This window comes from Homo sapiens, chromosome 11, assembly GCF_000001405.40.
Source record: "Homo sapiens chromosome 11, GRCh38.p14 Primary Assembly".
NCBI classification, from domain to species: Eukaryota; Metazoa; Chordata; class Mammalia; order Primates; family Hominidae; genus Homo; species Homo sapiens.
In genome coordinates, this window is record NC_000011.10 from 82,389,333 (window position 1) to 82,408,503 (window position 19,171).

Here is a 19,171-nt window from a genome sequence, read left to right on the forward strand (position 1 = left end):
GTAGTGCAGGTTTCCTGTTAACAAGTTCTTTCAACTCTTGTACAGTTGAAAATGTCTATATATCACCTTCATTTTTTCAAATATATTTTCATTTGACTAAAACGTTTACCTGAAAAACTGCTTTCTTTCAGCATTATAATTATGTCATCCCACTGTCTTCTGGCACTATTTTTGTCTCAGGAGAAATCAGATGTCATTAAGATTGTTTTACCGTTGCGTAAAATTTTTTTCTCTGGCTACCTTTAAGATATTTTCTTTATCTTTGATTTTTAAACTGTTTGATTATGATGTAGTTTTATTCGCCTTTACTTAATTTTCAGACTTTCTTCGCACTGTGTCTGTTTTTGTTTTGAAAAAAAAATGTTGACTAATGGTTTTTCAGATAGATAGACCCAACAATTCTACTTTTAGGTAATAACTCTAGAGAATTTTTTTTAAAATTCTGCATGTTTTATACACACATATGCACAAAAAATAAGAAATATTATAATAGCCAAGATATGCAAATAATCCAGATGTCCATTATCAGATGACTGAATTAACACATTGTGGCATATTCAAACAATGAAATGCTACTCAAAAATTTAAAGCAATGAAGTACTGATGAACACAGCACCATGCATAAATATGAAAAACATGATGCTCAGTGAAAACCAGACAAAAATAACATACTCCATAGGATTATGTACAATTTTTGAGCGGAACAGACAAAGCTTTAGTTGTAGATATGAGCACAGTGTGGCCTGGTGAGGAAATAGTTGACTGAAAAGAGGCACACCAGAATTTAGAATATACTGGGTTATGAAAATAGTTTAGACACTAATTGGAGTGATGATTATACGTGTGTGTGTGTAAACTCAGCAAACTATATACTTAATATCTTTGGATTATGTAACAAGGTACTTATGTGCCCCCTAAAATTTCACTGGAAGCCTAAACAAACAACTGATTAAACATATCTAACTGGATAAATTCAGAAATTGAAACTAGATCAGAAGAAATGGCACAAACTGAGGCACAGAAAGATCAAGAAAGAAAACGATAAAAGGAAAGTTAAGACACAAAGAAGACATTTTCTCTTTCTGTTAACTTGATAGGTCAAATATGTGAATCAAACTTCGATAACAAATAACAAAAAATTCAGGTTAAAACATTATACGAATCTTTTTAAAATAATGTAGAGTTGACAACAGACTTATGAATCATAACCCTAAAATCTAAGCAAAGGGAGAAATCCAAGCAGGTGAGCAGACCACTGAAACCACTTTAATTCTGAGGGATTTTGCCATACCTAGGAAGAGCTTAGATTTTGAGAGTTTCCCAGGACTTTCGGTAGAGCAATAAAATCTCAGAAGTAATAAAGTCTCTGTCTCGAAGGGCAATTCATTTAGGTAAGAATGGCTTAAATAAACACATCTAACCCTGTCCCAATCCAAGGCTAATGCAAGGAAAGTTGCCTTGGCTCTGATGAGAAAGGGGGATGGGATATGAAAATAATTCCACAAAGTCTTCAGGATTGCACGTAAATCTCAAGCTTATTTGTGGCTGACATTTACAGCATTTTATAGTTCTAAAAGCCTCAAATTAAAAGTGGTCCGTGACAAGAGGTGCCCTTTGGTGCCTGGAAGTAGCAAACACAAAGGCTGTAAACCCAAAAATGCCCACAAATAATTTTATGTGGACACTAAGTATTTCATAATCAAAAATGAGCCCAGAAGGAAACAAGACACACTAGGGGAGAATCATCCAAAAGCTGAATAAAAACCAGCAGAAACAAATTCACACAAATTTCAGAAATTTGTTATAATTTTGCAATTATCAAATATGAAGTATTTTAAACATATATTTAAAATGTTTAAGAAAATAAAAGAAAAGAAAGCCTTATAATAACTGCAGGAAAAAACTGAATTTAACTTCTGGAATTAAAATATAGAATAGTCCAAAGTAAAACTTTAATGTGCAGTTTTAATAATATATTAGACACAATTGAAAATAGAACTGAAAATCATTTTTAAAAAATTATTCAGAAGGCCTCACAAAGATTAAGGAAGTGGCGGAAAATGTGAAAGAGTGGGTAAGAGAGACAGAAAAAAGGAAGCGAAGGTATAATGTATGTGTCTATTCCAAGTTACATAATGAAAATATAGATAGAATATAGAATAGCAGATGTTGGAATGATGACATAGTCAATGTCTCAGATTCATGAAGTCCAAGAAATATAAAAGAAAATGAACAGAAATTTATTCATATACACATAATAGTAACATTGAAATACTAAAGATGAAGAAAATACATTAATAGCCTCTTTGGAGGGAGGGAAGACAGATTACCCTTAGAGAATCATTGATTAGACTGACAGCTGACTTTTTAACAAACACATTCAAAGCTAGATGACAGTGTACTTACCTCTTCAACATGTTGAAAGACTGTATTTTCAACCTGGAATTCTATGCTCAACAAAAATATTTCAAGAGCGACAGATAATTAAAGACATTTTTAAACAAACAAGTACATTTAGAAAGTTTGGCACCATATGATTCTCACAAAAGGAAGTTCTATGACATATAATCCCAGATGAAAGGTCTGAAGTACAAGAAAAAAAGAGTAAAATAAAGGTGAAGTATATGTAAATAAATCTGAAAGAAGATTGACTATATAAATCATTATAATAATATTTTATAGAATAAAATAATTGAATTAAATTCACAAATATAATACAAAAATTGGAAAGAGATAAAGTATTCAAAGGTCCTATGTTTTCCAAAAGGAGGGTAACAGTTTTGATTACTTTCAGATATTATAAGTGAAGATATGCATGTTGTAATTTTTTGGGTGACCAATGGAGCATTCTCCATTGGAATAAATTGTGTAAATTTTATGCTAGTATGGTCCTGAATAGTGGCTACCAAAGATATATATGTTCTAAGCTTTGGAACCTGTGATAGTTACTTTATATGGCAAGAGGGAACTTGCAGATTGATTAAATTAAGGATCTTGAAATGGAGAGATTATTCTGTATTATGCAGGCAGTCCCTAAATATAATCACAAGTGCTCTTGTAAGAGGGAAGCATTGGGGGATTTGAAGAGGAGACTACAGACATATAGAAGAGGAAAAAAGGCGGGGCGTGGTGGCTCATGCCTGTAATCCCAGCACTTTGGGAGACCGAGGAGGGTGGATCATGAGGTCAGGAGATCGAGACCATCCTGGCTAACATGGTGAAACCTTGTCTCTACTAAAAATACAAAAAATTAGCTGGGCATGGTGGGAGGTGCCTGTAGTCCCAGCTACTCTGGAGGCTGAGGCAGGAGAATGGCGTGAACCCGGGAGGTGGAGCTTGCAGTGAACCGAGATTGCGCTACTGCACTCCAGCCCGGGCGACAGAGCTGGACTCCATCTAAAAAAAAAAAAAAAAAAAAAAAGGAAAAGATATGTGATGATAAAAGCAGATGTTGGAATTATGAGCTTTGAAGATGAAGTAGAGTCCTAAAGCAAGAAATACTGGTGTCCAGTAGAAACTGACAGGGGCAAGGAAACAGATTCTCCCTTCCATACCTCCAGAGGAATTAGTCCTGTTGACCTCTTGACTTTAGCCCAGTGAAACTGATTTTAGACCCTGCCTTTCATAAATGTAAGAGAATAAATTTGTGTTGTTGTAATCCACTAAATTTGTGCCATTTCTTATAGCAGCAAGAAGAAAGTAATATATATGAAAAACATGGATGATAAAAGTTATTGAGCCAATCCAAAAGGAAGCTGTCTTAGCTGTACCAAGATACCATAGACTGGGTGACTTAAACAACAGACATGTATTTCTCACTAGAGGCTGAGAAGCCCAGCAGATTCTGTTTTTGTCTTGCAGATGGCTGCCTACTTGCTATATCTCCACATGGCAGAAAAGAGAGGCCTGATATCTCTTCCCCTTCTTACAAGGGCACTAATCTACATAGAGGATCCACCCTCATGACCTCATCTAAGCCTAATTACTTCCCAAAAGCCATATCTCCCAATACCATCACATTGGAGGATAAGGCTTCAACATATACCTTCTGGGGAGCACATCCAGTCTATAACAAAAGCAAATGGCACAGAGAAAAAAATGATAGAAATGGTAGAAGAAAAAGAAAGCATAAAAAATGTAGATACAAGCCCATATATATATTATTCTATTAAATATTAATGAGCTACTTTTCTATAGATAAAAGATAAAGACTGCCAAGAGATTTTAAAAAATAGATCCACAACTAAAATGCAAGAATAGAAAAATATCAAAAATTAAAGAATGAAGGAAAATATGGTATGCAAATACGAACAAAGGAAAGATGATTTAGCTATGCACCAAAGAGAAAAAAAATTCACTAAAGATAACCACTCCACAAGATAAAATATTCAATTCATCAGAGAAAAGCACATGAAAAATGCTCAACATTGTTAGTCAGTATGGATATACAAGTCAAAACTACAGTGAGATACCACATCACACCCATTGGGATGGCTATAATAATTTTGGGGGGAAAAAAGCAAATTATTGGCGAGGATATGGAGAAACTGGAACCTTTGTACATTGCTGGCAGGAATGTACAATGGTACACTCACTATGGAAAACAATTTGGCTGTTTCTCAAAAAGTTAAAAATGGAATTACTATATAACCCAGAAACTCCTCCCCTAGGAATTCACACAAAAGAAATGAAAACAGGGACTCAAACAGATACAACAAAAAGGTATGAATAACTTAAGTATACATCAATTTTTAAATGGATAAACAAAAATTAATATATGCATGCAACTGAATATTATTCAGGCATAAAGAGCAATGAAGTTCTGATACATGCTACAACATGGATGAATCTTACAAACATTCTAAGTAAAATAAGTCAAAAACAAAAGGGTGAATGTTATGATTTATCTTACATAAAAAATTTAGAATAAGCAAATTTGTAGTGACAGAAAGTAAATTAGGGATCAACAGAGGCTACGGAGAGGGGAGAATGGGGGAAGTATTGCTTAATATATACCAAGTTTCTGTTTGGAGTGATGAAAAAGTTTTGGAAATAGACAGCTGTGCTGGTTGCACAATATTGTGAATATAATGAATGGCCACCCAATCGGATACTTAAAATGATTAAATGGCAAATATATTTTATATATACATATGTATTGTGTGTGTGTATCTGTTTTAAAAAAAAAATTAGAATTAGAAGCCCAGGAAATACAATCAAGAAATACAGTGTCTTGGAATCCAAAGACAGTATGCAGGGTTCCCAGAAGAAAGATGGGGTAAACATTGCCTAAGATTGACAGGTATTTAAACAAACACACTCTGGATTCAATCCCAGATCTGTCACTTCTGAAGTCTGTAATAGTGGCTGATATGGTTTGGATATGTGTCTCCTCCAAATCTCATGTTAAAATGTCACCCCCAGTTTTGGAGGTAGGACCTAGTGGGACGTGTTGGATCATGAGGATGGATCCCTTAAGAATGGTTTAGCATTAAACCCTTGGTGATGAGTGGGTTCTCTCTCTGTTAGTTCAAGAGCAGGTTGCTTGAAGGAGCCTGGCATGTCTCTTGCTCCCTCTCTGGCCATGCGACACACCTGCTCACCTTTCACCTTCTGCCATGAGTTATAAGCTTCCTGAGGCCTCACTAGAAGTTGAGCAGATGCTGGTGTCACACTTGAACATCCTGCAGAACTGTGAAAGAAATAAATCTCTCTTCTTTATAAATTACCTAGTCTATGGTATTCCTTCATAGCATCATAAAAACGACTAACACACTGGCTCAATCAACTAACTTTTCTTAGGTTCAGTTTTTTGTTTCTGTTTTGTTTTGTTTTGTTTTGTGTTTTTGGAGACAGGGTCTCTGTCACCCAGGCTGGAGTGCAGTGGCATGATTTCAGCTCACTGTAGCTTGACCTCCCAGGCCCAAGCAATCCTTCCACCTCAGCCTCCCAAGTAGCTGGGTCTGCAGGCACTTGCCACCAGGCTTGGCTAATTTTTGTATTATTTGTAGTGATGGGGTTTCACATATTATCCAGGCTGGCCTCAAACTTCTAGGCTTAAGCAATCGGTCTGCCTCAGCCACCCAATGTGCTGGGATTACAGGCATGAGCCACCACACCCAGCCAGGTTCAGTTTTTTAATCTATTAAATAGGAATAATAATAATAATAAAGAATAATAATCTATTAAATAGAAATAATATAACAACTATAGCGATGAGTAAAGATCCAAGGGCCAAGCCTAAAATAGTATAGTTATTTAATAAATGATAACATCTGATATTCTATTTTATTTGCCTACATGTCTATTTTCCTGGAGATCATACACTCTCTCTATAATTCTATTTCCAGTTTCCAACACAGTAGCTGGATATATTAGGCTTAACTCTAATCTGCAGCTGTCAGGGAGATCTTCACATGTACAACTAAAATTCTGACTCACACACTACCATAGGCATCAGTAGAATATAGAACAGAATCCACTTGCCAGTAGGGTAGCATCAAACATTCCTCACCATCAGGAATCCTTGCAGTGATCCAGCACATCAGTGTTGGTCCAGCATAGCTCTCTGGGAAATACATGTTTCCCAGATGACTGCTCAGATGCAAGGAGATGAAACTTGCAGACATATAGGGTATTAGTTATCTATTGATGCATAACAAATTGGCCCCAAAATTGCTGGCTTAAAACAACAAACCTTCTTTTTTTTAATCTTGCAGTTTCTATAGGACAGGAATCTGGGTGCAATTTACCTGAGTCTTCTGGCTCAAGGTATCTCACAAGGTTGTAATCAAGGCATCAGCCAGGGATGCAGTAATCTCAATACTTCACTAGGGGAAGATTCACTTACAAGCTCATTGCCTGATTGTTGGCAGAGTTCAGTTCCTTACAGGTTATTGGACTGAAGGCCTCAGTTCTGTTCTTGCTGTTGGCCAGATGCTTCCTTCAGTTTCTTGCCACCTAGGCTTTCTCCATAGGAGAGTAGCACACAACGTACTAACAGGCTTACATCAGAGCGATCAAACAAGAGCACAAGAGAGGATGAACAAGAAGGAACCTAGGGCCATTTGTAACCTTATCTTGGAATTGGCCATGACTTTTGTTATATCCTAGTTGTTAGAGATGAGTCACTAAGTCCAGCCTACACTTAAGGGAATGAAATTACATAAGGGCATGAATACCGGGAGTCAGGGATTTTTTGGATCCATTTTGGAGGCTGCGTACCACAGGCATTGTGGTAAACAACCTAGCTTAGAAGCCTCACTTTCCACAGAAATCAATAGCTCTTGTAAAACTCCACAAGCTTAGCTTCCAGGCTCCCCTCAAAAGACATGGCATTACAAGAGTTAACATACTAAGAAAGTCTAAGATATTGCCTTCACATAGGGTATTTATAATTCATATATAGTTTCTTCTATAATAGTAGTTGCTCAATCTTCTTTTTTTTTTTTTTTTTTTTTTAGATGGAGTCTTGCTCTGTCACTAGGCTGGAGTGCAGTTGCGCAATCTCGGCTCACTGCAACCTCCGCCTCCCTGGTTCAAGCAATTCTCCTGCCTCAGCTGCCTGAGTAGCCTACCTGAGTAGCTAAGAGTTCAGGCACGTACCACCATGCCCAGCTAACTTTTGTATTTTTAGTAGAGACAAGGTTTCACCATGTTGGCCAGGATGGTCTTGATCTCTTGACCTCGTGATCCACCCACCTCAGCCTCACAAAAGTGCTGGGATTACAGGCGTGAGCCACCATGCCTGGCCACTCAATCATTTTTATCACAAGCAATGTCACTTAGCAATATATTAATAGTTGTCATACTACCCTTATCAGATCACCAGGAAAATAGGTAGAAAGATTAAGAAAAATCAAACTATCTTTGCCCACCACATAAAGTAAATATTTTTGTAAGTCAAGGATATTCAAATATTTGCAAATTAATATGGTGCAAACTAACATTATATTTTAATTAATATATATGGCTATCAAATTTAACTGAATTGGACTTGCAAACTCAAGTTTGCAAACAAACAATCAAACAAACAATATAAAGCCAGGAAACAGTATAGGATGCAAATATTGACTTTTCTGGAGAGAAAACTGGGAAAAATCAGGCCTGCAGTAGCTGATAGCTAGCAGAATGAATTTGTCACACACTAAGAATAATTGGATAGATATACCTAATGTAAATGACGAGTTAATGGGTGCAGCACACCAACATGACACATGTATACATATGTAACAAACCTACACGTTGTGCACATGTACCCTAGAACTTAAAGTATAATTTTAAAAAAAGAATAATTGGAGAAAATCTGCTGCACTGTAGTTGTACTGTAGTACAGGTGATATATTCATAAAAAATTAATTATTTAACAAATGTTTATTGCTGTGGAGGCCCAATTTCAGTTCAGGTGACTTAAACAAAATTGTTTGAACACCACTATATACTAGGAAGTGTGGTAAGAGCTAGAAATAGAAATGTATAAGGCATGGTCCCTGACCTCAATAAACCGATGTGCTTATATTTAGTGAACTTCTATTGTATTGCAGACATTATGCTAGCAGCTAAGGAGAAAAAAGATAAATGAAATATGGGCTCCACACTCAAAGTATTTATGAACAAACAGAGCTAGACATAAAAAGTTATCACTTTATAAACAAGGCAGGGAGTGCCAGAAATGTGGCTGAAGAGGTGGGAATAGCACGAATGACAGGGAGCTTTGTAAGCTAAGCTAAGGCAGTCAGTGAGAAGTCATTGAAGGTTTTCATCAAGATAATAATGTGATCAAAAATATAATGTTTGCTGCTGTGTGCATGATGGGATATAAGGGAGATCAGTGTGAATTCAGAAATATACATATTTGTAGAGAGGAAAAGGATCTAAATTAAGGCAATGGGAGAGGAATGGAAACTTTCTTTCTTCAGCTTCTGCTCACAGAGATACACAAATCAATCCAGAAATTCACCTCTCCCTTAATCAGCCACCATACACAAGCACTGCTGCCTTAGCTCTCCCCACTCTGCCCCCATCATTACTTCCACCGATGGCAAAGTCCCATCACATGACTCATTCAGGCAGACTTTTGCCCAGTGTCTAGTAAATAGTAGATACCCAAAACAACTGTTTTGGCTTGACCACATGAATCAGGGAAGTGCTTCAGAGTGGACACATGCCTTGCCTCCTGTTTTGCTGACTTCCTCATAACTTGGCAAAAGTTCATGGCCTTGGAATGAAGGAACTTGGGGAAAAAAAAAAAAGCATCTGCATTCTGTGTATGCAGCACTGTTTTGAAATCTCCTGTCCCTGCTTCAAAAAGCTAGACAGCAGCCAGAACCAACTGTTAGGTTAATGAAAGCTCAAAGTCTAAAGGAAAAAAAAAAAAAAGTCTCGCTCTCATCCCCCAGGCTGGAGTGCAATGGTGCGATCTCAGCTCACTGCAACCTCCGCCTCCCAGGTTCAAGCAATTCTCCTGCCTCAGCCTCCTGAGTAGCTGGGATTACAGGTTCTTGCCACCATGCCCGGCTAATTTTTGTATTTTAAGTAGATACGCGGTTTCACCATGTTGGCCAGGCAGGTCTAGAACTCCTGACCTCAGGTGATCTGCCTGCCTCGGCCTCCCAAAGTGCTGGGATTACAGGTGTGAGCCACTGCGCCCAGCCAAAAAATAAAGCTTTTAACTTCCTTCAAGATTCAGTGTTTACAACGAACTTCACTGCTCAGAATTTTTGCTTTATTATTCAGTTGTTTGGCCACCTACTATCAGTGGAGATATTGCAGGTTCAGTTTCATACCACTGGAGTACTGTAAGTCATACATATTTTTTGGTTTCCCAGTGCATATAAAAGTTATACCATGTTGCAGTCTTTGAAGTGTGCAATAGCATTATGTCCCAATATAATGTATAGATCTCAATTTTAAAATATTTCATTGATTTAAAATATGCTAAAGATCATCTAAGCCTTCAGCAAGTCATCATATTTTTGCTGGTGGAAAGTCTTTTGTAGATGTTGATGGCTGCTGTCAGATCAAGAGGTGGTTGCTAAAGGTTGGAGTGGCCATGGGAAATTCTGAAAATAAGAAAGCAGTGTAGATTGGTGCATCAAGTGACTCTTTTTTTTTTTTCATTAAAGATTTATCTGTGGCGTGCAATGCTGTTTGATAGCATTTTACCCACAATAGAACTTCTTTCAAATTTGGAGTCAATCCTCTCAAACTCTGCCACTGCTTTATGAACTAAGTTTATGGAATATGCTAAATCCTTTGCTGTCATTTCAATGTTCACAGCATCTTCACCAGGAATAGCTTCCATATCAAGAAACCACTTTTTGGCCAGGCATGGTGGCTTATGCCTGTAATCCCAGCACTCTGGGAGGCCGAGGTGGGCAGATCACCTGAGGTCAGGAGTTCGAGACCAGCCTGGCCAACATGATGAAATCCCATCTCTACTAAAAATACAAAAATTAGCTAGGCATGGTGGCACATGCCTGCAATCCCAACTACTCAGGAGGCTGAGGCAGGAGAATCACTTGAACTCAGGAGGCAAAGGTTGCAGTGAGCCGAGATCATGCCACTGCACTCCAGCCTGGGTGACAGAGTGAGACTTCATCTCAAAAAAAAAAAAAGATATCACTTACTTTACTCATCCATAAGAAGCAACTCCTCATCTGCTCTGCTTAACTTTTATCCGGGATTGCAGCAATTCAGTCATATCTTTAGGCTCCACTTTTTGAATAGTAAATGAGCATTGGCTTCAACTTAAAGTCACAAGCTGCATTATCCCCTAATAAGAAAGTCAATATGCCTTTTGAAGCTTTGAAGACAGGCATGAACTTCTCTGTAGCTGTGAAAGTCCTAGATGGCATTTTCTTTCAATAGAAAGCTGTTTTGTCCACATTGAAAAACCTGGCATTTAGTGCAACTATCTTCATCAACAATCTTGGCTGGATCTTCCGGATAAATTGCCGCAGCATCTACATCAGCCCTGCTGCTTTGCCTTGTACGTTTATGTTATAGAGATGGCTTCTTTCCTTAAACCTCATGAATCAACCTCTGCTAGCTTCCAACTTTTCTTCGGCAGCTTTCTCAACTCTGTCAGCCTTCATAGAATTAAAGAGAGTTAAGTCCTTGCTCTGGATTAGTCTTTGGCTTAAGGGAATGTTGTGGCTGGTTTGATCTTCTATCCAGACCACTAAAACATTCTCCATATCAGCAATAAGGCTGTTTTACTTTCTTATCATTTGTGTGTTCACTGGAGTAGCACTTTTAATTTCCTTCAAGAAATTTTCCTTTACATTCACAACTTGGCTAACCGTTTAGCAAAAGGGGCCTAGATTTTGACCTATCTTGACTTTTGACATGCCTTCCTCACTAAGCTTAATCATTTTTAGCTGTGATTTAAAGTGAGAGATGTGCAGCTCTTCCTTTCACTTCAATATTTAGAAGCCATTGTAAGGTTATTAACTGGTCTAGCTTTAATATTGTTGTGTCTCAGGGAAGAGAGAGGCCTAAGGAGGGGGGCATGGAGGGAGAGAGAGAGAGAGAAATGAGAGTGAGAGAGACAGACAGAGAGAGAGAGAGAGAGAGAGAGAGAGAGAGAGAGAGAGAGAGAGATGGAGGAACAGCCAGTCAGTGGAGCAGTCAGAAGACCCACAACATTTATCTGTTAAGTTTCTTATCTTCATAGGTGTGGTACATGGAACCCCAAAACAATTACCGTAGTAACATCAGAGATCACTGATCACAGATCATCATAATAGATATAATAATAATGAAACATTTGAAATATTGTAAGAGTTACCAAAATGTGACAGAGATATGAAATGTGACACAGAGACATTTTTCCACATGCTGTTGGAAAAATGGTGCCAATAGGCTTGGTCAACACACGGTCACCACAAATTTTCAGTTTGTAAAAGATGTGCAATACAATTGAATTATGTGGCTGTGGTTGTTCATGCCTGTAATCCCAGTTTCTCAGGAGGCTAAGGCAGGAAGATTGCCTGGGCCCAGCAGGTTGAGGCTGTAGTGATCTGTGATCACACCACTGCACTCCAGCCTGGGCAGCAGAGCAACCTCAGCTCAAAGAAAAAAAAAAAGGTATGCCTATATGTGCCAAGAACTGTAGGACAGGAAATTGAATCATACACAGGACTCACCTTATTAGATGAGTTTGCATTTTAATAGGAAAGATATGATGAATAAAATACATAAATAGATGATGATGAATGATTAGATAGAACAGATAGAAGATAGATTATAAATTGATTAGTGGTCAAACATAGCAGGTTTTAAAATATAAGAATAAAAAGAGTTTTGTCAGGGCATAGAGGGAAGACAGATTATCATCTCTGCCAAGAGTAGACGAGTTAATTTCACAGAAGGGCCCTGTCAGAGCTGGATATTGAAAGATGAAGAGTAGTTTAACAATTAGAGAAGAGAATGGGAGAAAATCCAAACTTGTTCAAAAAGAAGCAACACACTAAGCAAGAACACACAATTATGATTAAGAAAACTGCTGGCCGGGCACGGTGACTCGCGCCTGTAATCCCAGCACTTTTGAGAGGCCGAGGCAGGCGGATCACGAGATCAGGAGATCGAGACAATCCTGGCCAACATGGTGAAACCCCGCCTCTACTAAAAATATGAAAATTAGCTGGGCATGGTGGTGCGTGCCTGTAATCCCAGCTACTCGGGAGGCTGAGGCAGGAGAATCGCTTGAACCCAGGAATCGGAGGTTGCAGTGAGCCGGGATCGTGCCACTGCACTCCAGTCTGGCAACAGAAAGAGACTCCCCTAAAAAATAAAGAAAGAGAGAAAGAGAGAAAGAGGGAAGGAAGGGAGGGAGGGAGGAAGGAAGGAAAAAAGAAAGAAAGAAAAAGAAAAAGAAGGAAAATTACTGGCCAGATTGTGGGCAATGATGAATTCACCAAAATTATTTTTTTTTCTTCTAAAATCTCAGAGGCTTCCTTCCCCACATGATTTTTTTATGAGAAAAAGATATAGTTAATTTGTTCCTCTCATTGATAATCATTGTGTACCTAAATTGTGAAGTCCAATCTTTATCTTAGTTTTTTCATCCCGTTTCTAAACCTCCGTACTATTTTTTGACTACTTAGGTTTCCCAAGAAGGAAGAATATAAAAAGTATACCCTTCTCCCTCTATCAAATGGTGGCTAGGAAACACCATGTCTTTTTCAGAGACAATGGAACATTGTTCTAGGTAGAACAATTATTAAATGTGCATTAAATGGCAAGGTTATACAAGAAGATTTCATCATAAACTCAGTAAAAATCTTTTGTTTTTCTGCTTGCAATTATCAACATTTCTTAATCCCCAATGTAGATGTTTAATAAAATCTCTGGCTCCAATTTGGCAAACACAGAAAGACCCCTACTGTGCGGGCAGTACAGGATCTGCAACATAAATCTCCAAATGGGTCCTTGAGTCAAGCCACAGATGACAGGATGGCCCCAGAGCTGTCTGCTGACCAGCCATGTGCTGAACATAAAATGTAAATAACTGTCTCCATGATGACCACAGAGTTCTCCTTTGTCGTCCAAATGTACTGCAGCCCACTTAGCAATACAGTCATCCAGTTCTTCATGAATATAATATAAAAATTTTGTTATTAAAACTTTCCAAAACAATGATTGTTAGTTGACCACTACGAAAACAGTTGAGAATTGCTTCAGCCACTTGGAAAGTAAAAAAAAAAAAAAAAAAAAAAAAATCAAGAATGCCAAGTAACTCACGCTGTCAGCGATGTGGTGGGACGCACAAAGAGTTTATAAAATCAGCCTGCCAGCATTTGCCCCTCACCCACATATAAGATACATGAGGGAAGGTTAGGGAAATTGTTCCAGAGGCTTCAAAGTTAATCTGTACTTTTGGCATTTACCCAAATAGTAGCTGGGGGAAATTGGCCCTAACCAACTGACAGAAATTACCCTATGTGGTCTGGGTAATTACTGATCATGTTCTCTGATGTACCTGTGGTTATTGCCTACTGGGAGAATCAAATGGGTAGTGATTGCTTTCCTCAAGGAAAAAGTTTAAGGAAAAAAAAAAGGAGCTTGCAGTGTCATGAAGAAAAAAGTGCAAGGTAGAATCACTCCTAAAAATGTAAAGGAAATGTACAGGTATTAGACTTGATAAGATAACGGGTCCATCTGGAAATCTGTGAGGAGAAAACAAAAATTTGGACTTTCAACTACAGACACATGGAGGTGAGAAGAGATATGAGGAAAGCATGTGGAAATGATATCCTTTATCGAGTTTTTCTTTCATTCCATTATTGCCTGAGGTCCCAAAAGTAGGAAAGAAATTCAAGAATGCCAATAACTTGCACTCACCTCTTAGGGAGGGGCTAGATCCCATATACAAAACTGCTATTGAGAGGTGACAGCCTGCTAGCAGCCCTGGCAGCCCTCGCTCGCTCTGGGCACCTCCTCAGCCTTGGCGCCAACTCTGGCCGCCCTTAAGGAGCCCTTCAGCCCGGCCCTGCACTGTGTGAGCCCCTTTCTGGGCTGGCCGAGGCCGGAGCCGGCTCCCTCAGTTGCGGGGAGGTGTGGAGGGAGAGGCACGGGCGGGAACCGAGGCTGCGCGCGGCGCTTCCGGGCCAGCGCGAGTTCCGGGTGGGCGTGGGCTCCGCGGCCCAGCACTCAGAGCAGCCGGCGGAGCCGCCCGCCCGGGGCAGTGAAGTAAGGCTTAGCACCCGGGCCGGCAGCTGCGGAGGGTGCGCCGGGTCCCCCAGCAGTGCCGGCAGGCGCTCAAATTCTCACCTGGCCTCAGATGCCTCCCCGCGGGGCAGGGCTCGGGACCCGCAGCCCGCCATGCCTGAGCCTCCCCCACGCCGTGGGCTCCTGCACCAACCAAGCCTCCCGGACAAGCGTCGCCCCCTGCTCCACGGCACCCAGTCCCATCGACCACCCAAGGGCTGAGGAGTGCCAGCGCACCTCACGGGACTGACCCACAGCTCCACCAGCTCCCCGGTGCGGGATCCACTGGGTGAAGCCAGCTGGGCTCCTGAGTCTAGTGGGGACTTGGAGAACCTTTATGTCTAGCTAAGGGGTTGTGAATGCACCAATCAGCGCTCTGTGTCTAGCTCAAGGTTTGTAAATGCACCAATCAGCACCCTGTGTCTAGCTCAGGGTTTGTGAATGCACCAATCAGTACTCTGTGTCTAGCTAATCTAGTGGGGACCTGGAGAACTTTTGTGTCTAGCTCAGGGATCGTAAACACACCAATCAGCACCCTGTCAAAACGGACCAATCAGCTCTCTGTAAAATTAACCAATCAGCAGGTTGTGGGTGAGGCCAGATAAGGGAATAAAAGCAGAATGCCGAAGCTGGAAGTGGCAACCCACTGTGGTCCCCTTCCACAATGTGGAATCTTTGTTCTTTCGCTCTTTGCAATAAATCTTGCTGCTGCTGAGTCTTTGGGTCCACACTGCCTTTATGAGCTACACTCACCGCGAAGGTCTGCAGCTTCTCTCCTGAGGCCAGCGAGACCACGAACCCACCGGGAGGAATGAACAACTCCAGACACACCGCCTTAGGAGCTATAATGCTCAACACAAAGGTCTGCAGCTTCACTCCTGAAGCCAGAGAGACCACAAACCCACTAGAAGGAAGAAACTCCGAACACATCCAAACATCAGAAGGAACAAACTCCGGACACGCCACCTTTAAGAACTGTAACACTCACCACGAGGGTCCGTGGCTTCATTCTTGAAGTCAGTCAGACCAAGAACCCACCAATTCCAGACACACTATGAGATCATGAAATCAGTTTTTCCAGCACTCACACCTCATCCGCATCTAAGCAGCAAATCATGAGAAAAAAAAAATCACTATTTAACATCTTCCACATCTCACAATCACTATGTTAGTTAGCAATATATTGCCTCTTATCTCAGAATACACTTTTCAATATATGCTCTGTGATGGTAAAATTTCCTTAAGCATTTATCCTTTAAAGTGAGCACAGTATGAAGCTATCTTAGTAGAGGAATGTAGGAATATTGCAGGAGGAAAAGTCTGCCCTGTAGTTTTCACCATCGGTCAGGGGTGAGTGGCATGAGTGTGAGGTCATCCAGTGAAGCACTGCCCCAGCTATCGGCTGAGAATGTAGTCCCTCTGTGACCTTTCCAGTCTCGCCTGGTGATAACCTTTCCACAGCCTGGAAACCAGAGCCCCACTCAGACCTGTGCTCTAAAGGCCTCCTGCCAGGACCTGTCCCAGGCCCCACTGTGAGCCCACACCCCCAGCTGCTGATCCCCTGCTAATCCCACTGGCACTGTGGAAAGTTGTCTATCACTTGCCGGCAACTCCTGCCAGCTCCAGGCTAACCAATTGAGGGAACGTCTCTGCTATCTAGTGGGCTGAACCATTCCTTCTCTTACAAGAAGACCTGAATCCATTCCAAGTTTGCTGTCGGTTATGCACATTCCCTCAGCCCTAGCATGCTGTATAATTTCCTTACATCTCATAGTTACTCTTTTATCATCCTTAATTCTTTATATGAAACATCCCTTGTTTAGTCTACTGTGTTGTTTCTATCTCCTGATTAGACCCAGGATGCTACAGTCACCAATGTACTTTTATAGCTATACAAATCAGGTAAAAATTTCTGCCCCTTACCTCTCTTCCTCATAATCTCTTCCAACTCTGTGGGCACTAGATCAGCTCTATGAGTGGAAGGTGAAGGAAAAGCAGAAGAGAAAGTTGATAAAATAAAGAAATCACAAACTCCCTGCCCCATGGTAGTTTTCTTCAATCACTGCAGGCTTGATCCAAGAGAGATTAAGGGGAGAATAGAAGCTTCAGTTAAATAAGCCTTGGGAATTATTATATATGATTGTGAATTTCTTAGTACCTAAAGCTAACTGGAAAAGCAACTGGATCTTCCTGAGACCTTATCCAGGGATAAGGAAGAAGAAGGCAAGAGAGAAGGACCAAAGAGGCTATGGTAAGAAAGAGAAACATCACTTTGTACTTGCACTTTGCCATACAAGCTAATTCAATATATTTGTTAAATTATTCTATTCTGAGATAAAGATTTCACAGAACTATTAAAATTGTACTCTGCTACTCTATAGACTACATGACTTTGCCAGTCATTTTCACCACTAGATCATTCAGCTACTAGCAAATAAGATTGTCAATTCCAAATAATACCCTTTTTAATATTGTTGAGAGAATTGTTATAGCCAAAGGTCAAAGAAGATATGAAGAAAATATAACCAATATTTAGTCAGAGGAAAACAACCTCATTAAGTAGAAGTAGGAGTCTTAAAGTGAACCAGATTCCAATAATTTTTTTAAAAAAACTAAGTCCTAGAGTGAAAGAACCCACTGGATATTTTTATCAGACTACAAAATTTATTAAGTAAAGGGCATCCCCTGACAAAGAATCATAAAATGTTTTTTAGACATAGGATATCTTCTTGTCCTTACCCCTTTCCCTAAAGATTCTATTCCTCCCACAACAAACCTGGACTACTGCCAAACAGCCAGAAACAAGGAACTCTTTCTCTCCCAAAAAGAGCTCATCCTAGTTTCAGATAGAACAAATATTCAGAAAATGCTTTCTCTAATTAAGTTAAAAATCTAACTACATTTCTAGTCATGCTTTCAGGAGAAACACAAAGATAAAACATATATTTTCCTTATGACAGCCCTTCAAATACCTTACTTGTTATATGCTTGGAGATTTTCCTTTCTCTAGGCAAATGAGCCACTATTTTATTTCTCATATGGCTTAGAATAGAGTTTTCTTACTCTTCTCTAAACACACACCAGTTATAAATGTCTTTTATGTATTTCCTTTAGATATCTTTTTTATTTATATAAAATGAGAACTCTACAGTTGGCACAATATACAGGCTACATGGCAGAACAGAGCAAGGCTGTCATCTCTTATGCTCAATATAGTCTACTTCTATAAGAGTAACACAATCAATATTCTCACTCTACACATGCTTCCTGGGCAAGCTCATTCATTTTTGGTGGTTTTAACCACCACAAATATGATCCCCTAGTGCCTAGTGCATATCAACAACTCAATCCTGTTCTCACATTATTGATGCATTATCCTAGCATCTACTCATTATCATTTCTGGATATCCCAGAGATACCTCAACCTCAACCTGTCCCAAATTATTCATCTCAATTAAAATCACTAATATTATTCCAGCCACACTAGCTAAAATGCAGGGGCAAATATTAATCAGATATTTTCTCTTTGTCACCCTCTACATATCCATGATAAATATTTATTTTCACCCTCATGCTATTTAATTATTTACAGTATTCTTCATATTGTCTTCTATGTCTCTGCTATTTTACCCCCAACCCCACTTTTTCTGCTTCTCATTCAATGCTGAACCCAGGCATCATCTCCTCCAGGAAGTTTGGATGGGAACAAAGTCAAGATCTTGGCTGGATCCTAGATAGAAATATAGCATACTTGGTGGTTTATGTCTACCACATCTCTCTCCAAACCATTCTCCTCTGATATAAATACACAACACACATTCCTCCCACCTCACTCTAAAATGCACTTAATTTCTTTTTTGATCTTGCACTGATTCTTTGTTCTTTTTATGCATTTTCTGAGACTTATTTTACTTACTTTTTACTTCCTTCATCCAAAGTGAGATATACCTTTCACTAAACTTGTCTTTTACCTATTTTCTTGGATCAAGAAACTGGAAACCTTCATTTATTACGTCCTTACCATATCTCAGGCAGCAAAAGAATCCCTTTCTAACATCATGGGGACTGAAGTCCTGTATTTCAAAGTTTCCACAATACCTATTTGATACCACAAATGCATCAATTTACCCAGAAAGATATAAAAATAATTCAGAGACACATAGCAAGTAGATAAAAAGGCGCTTAGAGATCACTGATTCCAAAACAGGCCCTCACTTGAGATATCAGGGTCAGAACATAAACTCCGGAATGAGGTAAACTGGGTTGGAGTCCTGGAGTCATTATTCCTAACTGTTTCTAGACAAGTGCTTTAACTTTTCTAAGTTTCAGCTTCCTCATCTACAAAATTAGGATAATAATTAATAGTACATAGCTCATAGGCTTTTAATGAGGATTAAATGAGATATAAAGTACTAGCACAAAGCTCAAAAGTGTTAACTATCAGATATATTCAAAATCA

At 39.4% G+C, this 19,171-nt stretch overlaps 1 long non-coding RNA gene across 1 annotated transcript in view; it reads right to left on the bottom strand.

The window, feature by feature from the left end:
- The window catches only part of MIR4300HG (MIR4300 host gene), a 524,063-nt gene extending 509,482 nt beyond the window's left edge, over positions 1–14,581 (bottom strand). The window contains exon 1 of the long non-coding RNA NR_120571.1: positions 14,347–14,581. This is a non-coding gene — a long non-coding RNA (MIR4300 host gene). The remainder of the gene's footprint in view (positions 1–14,346) is intronic.
- Between the last annotated feature and the right edge of the window lie 4,590 nt (positions 14,582–19,171).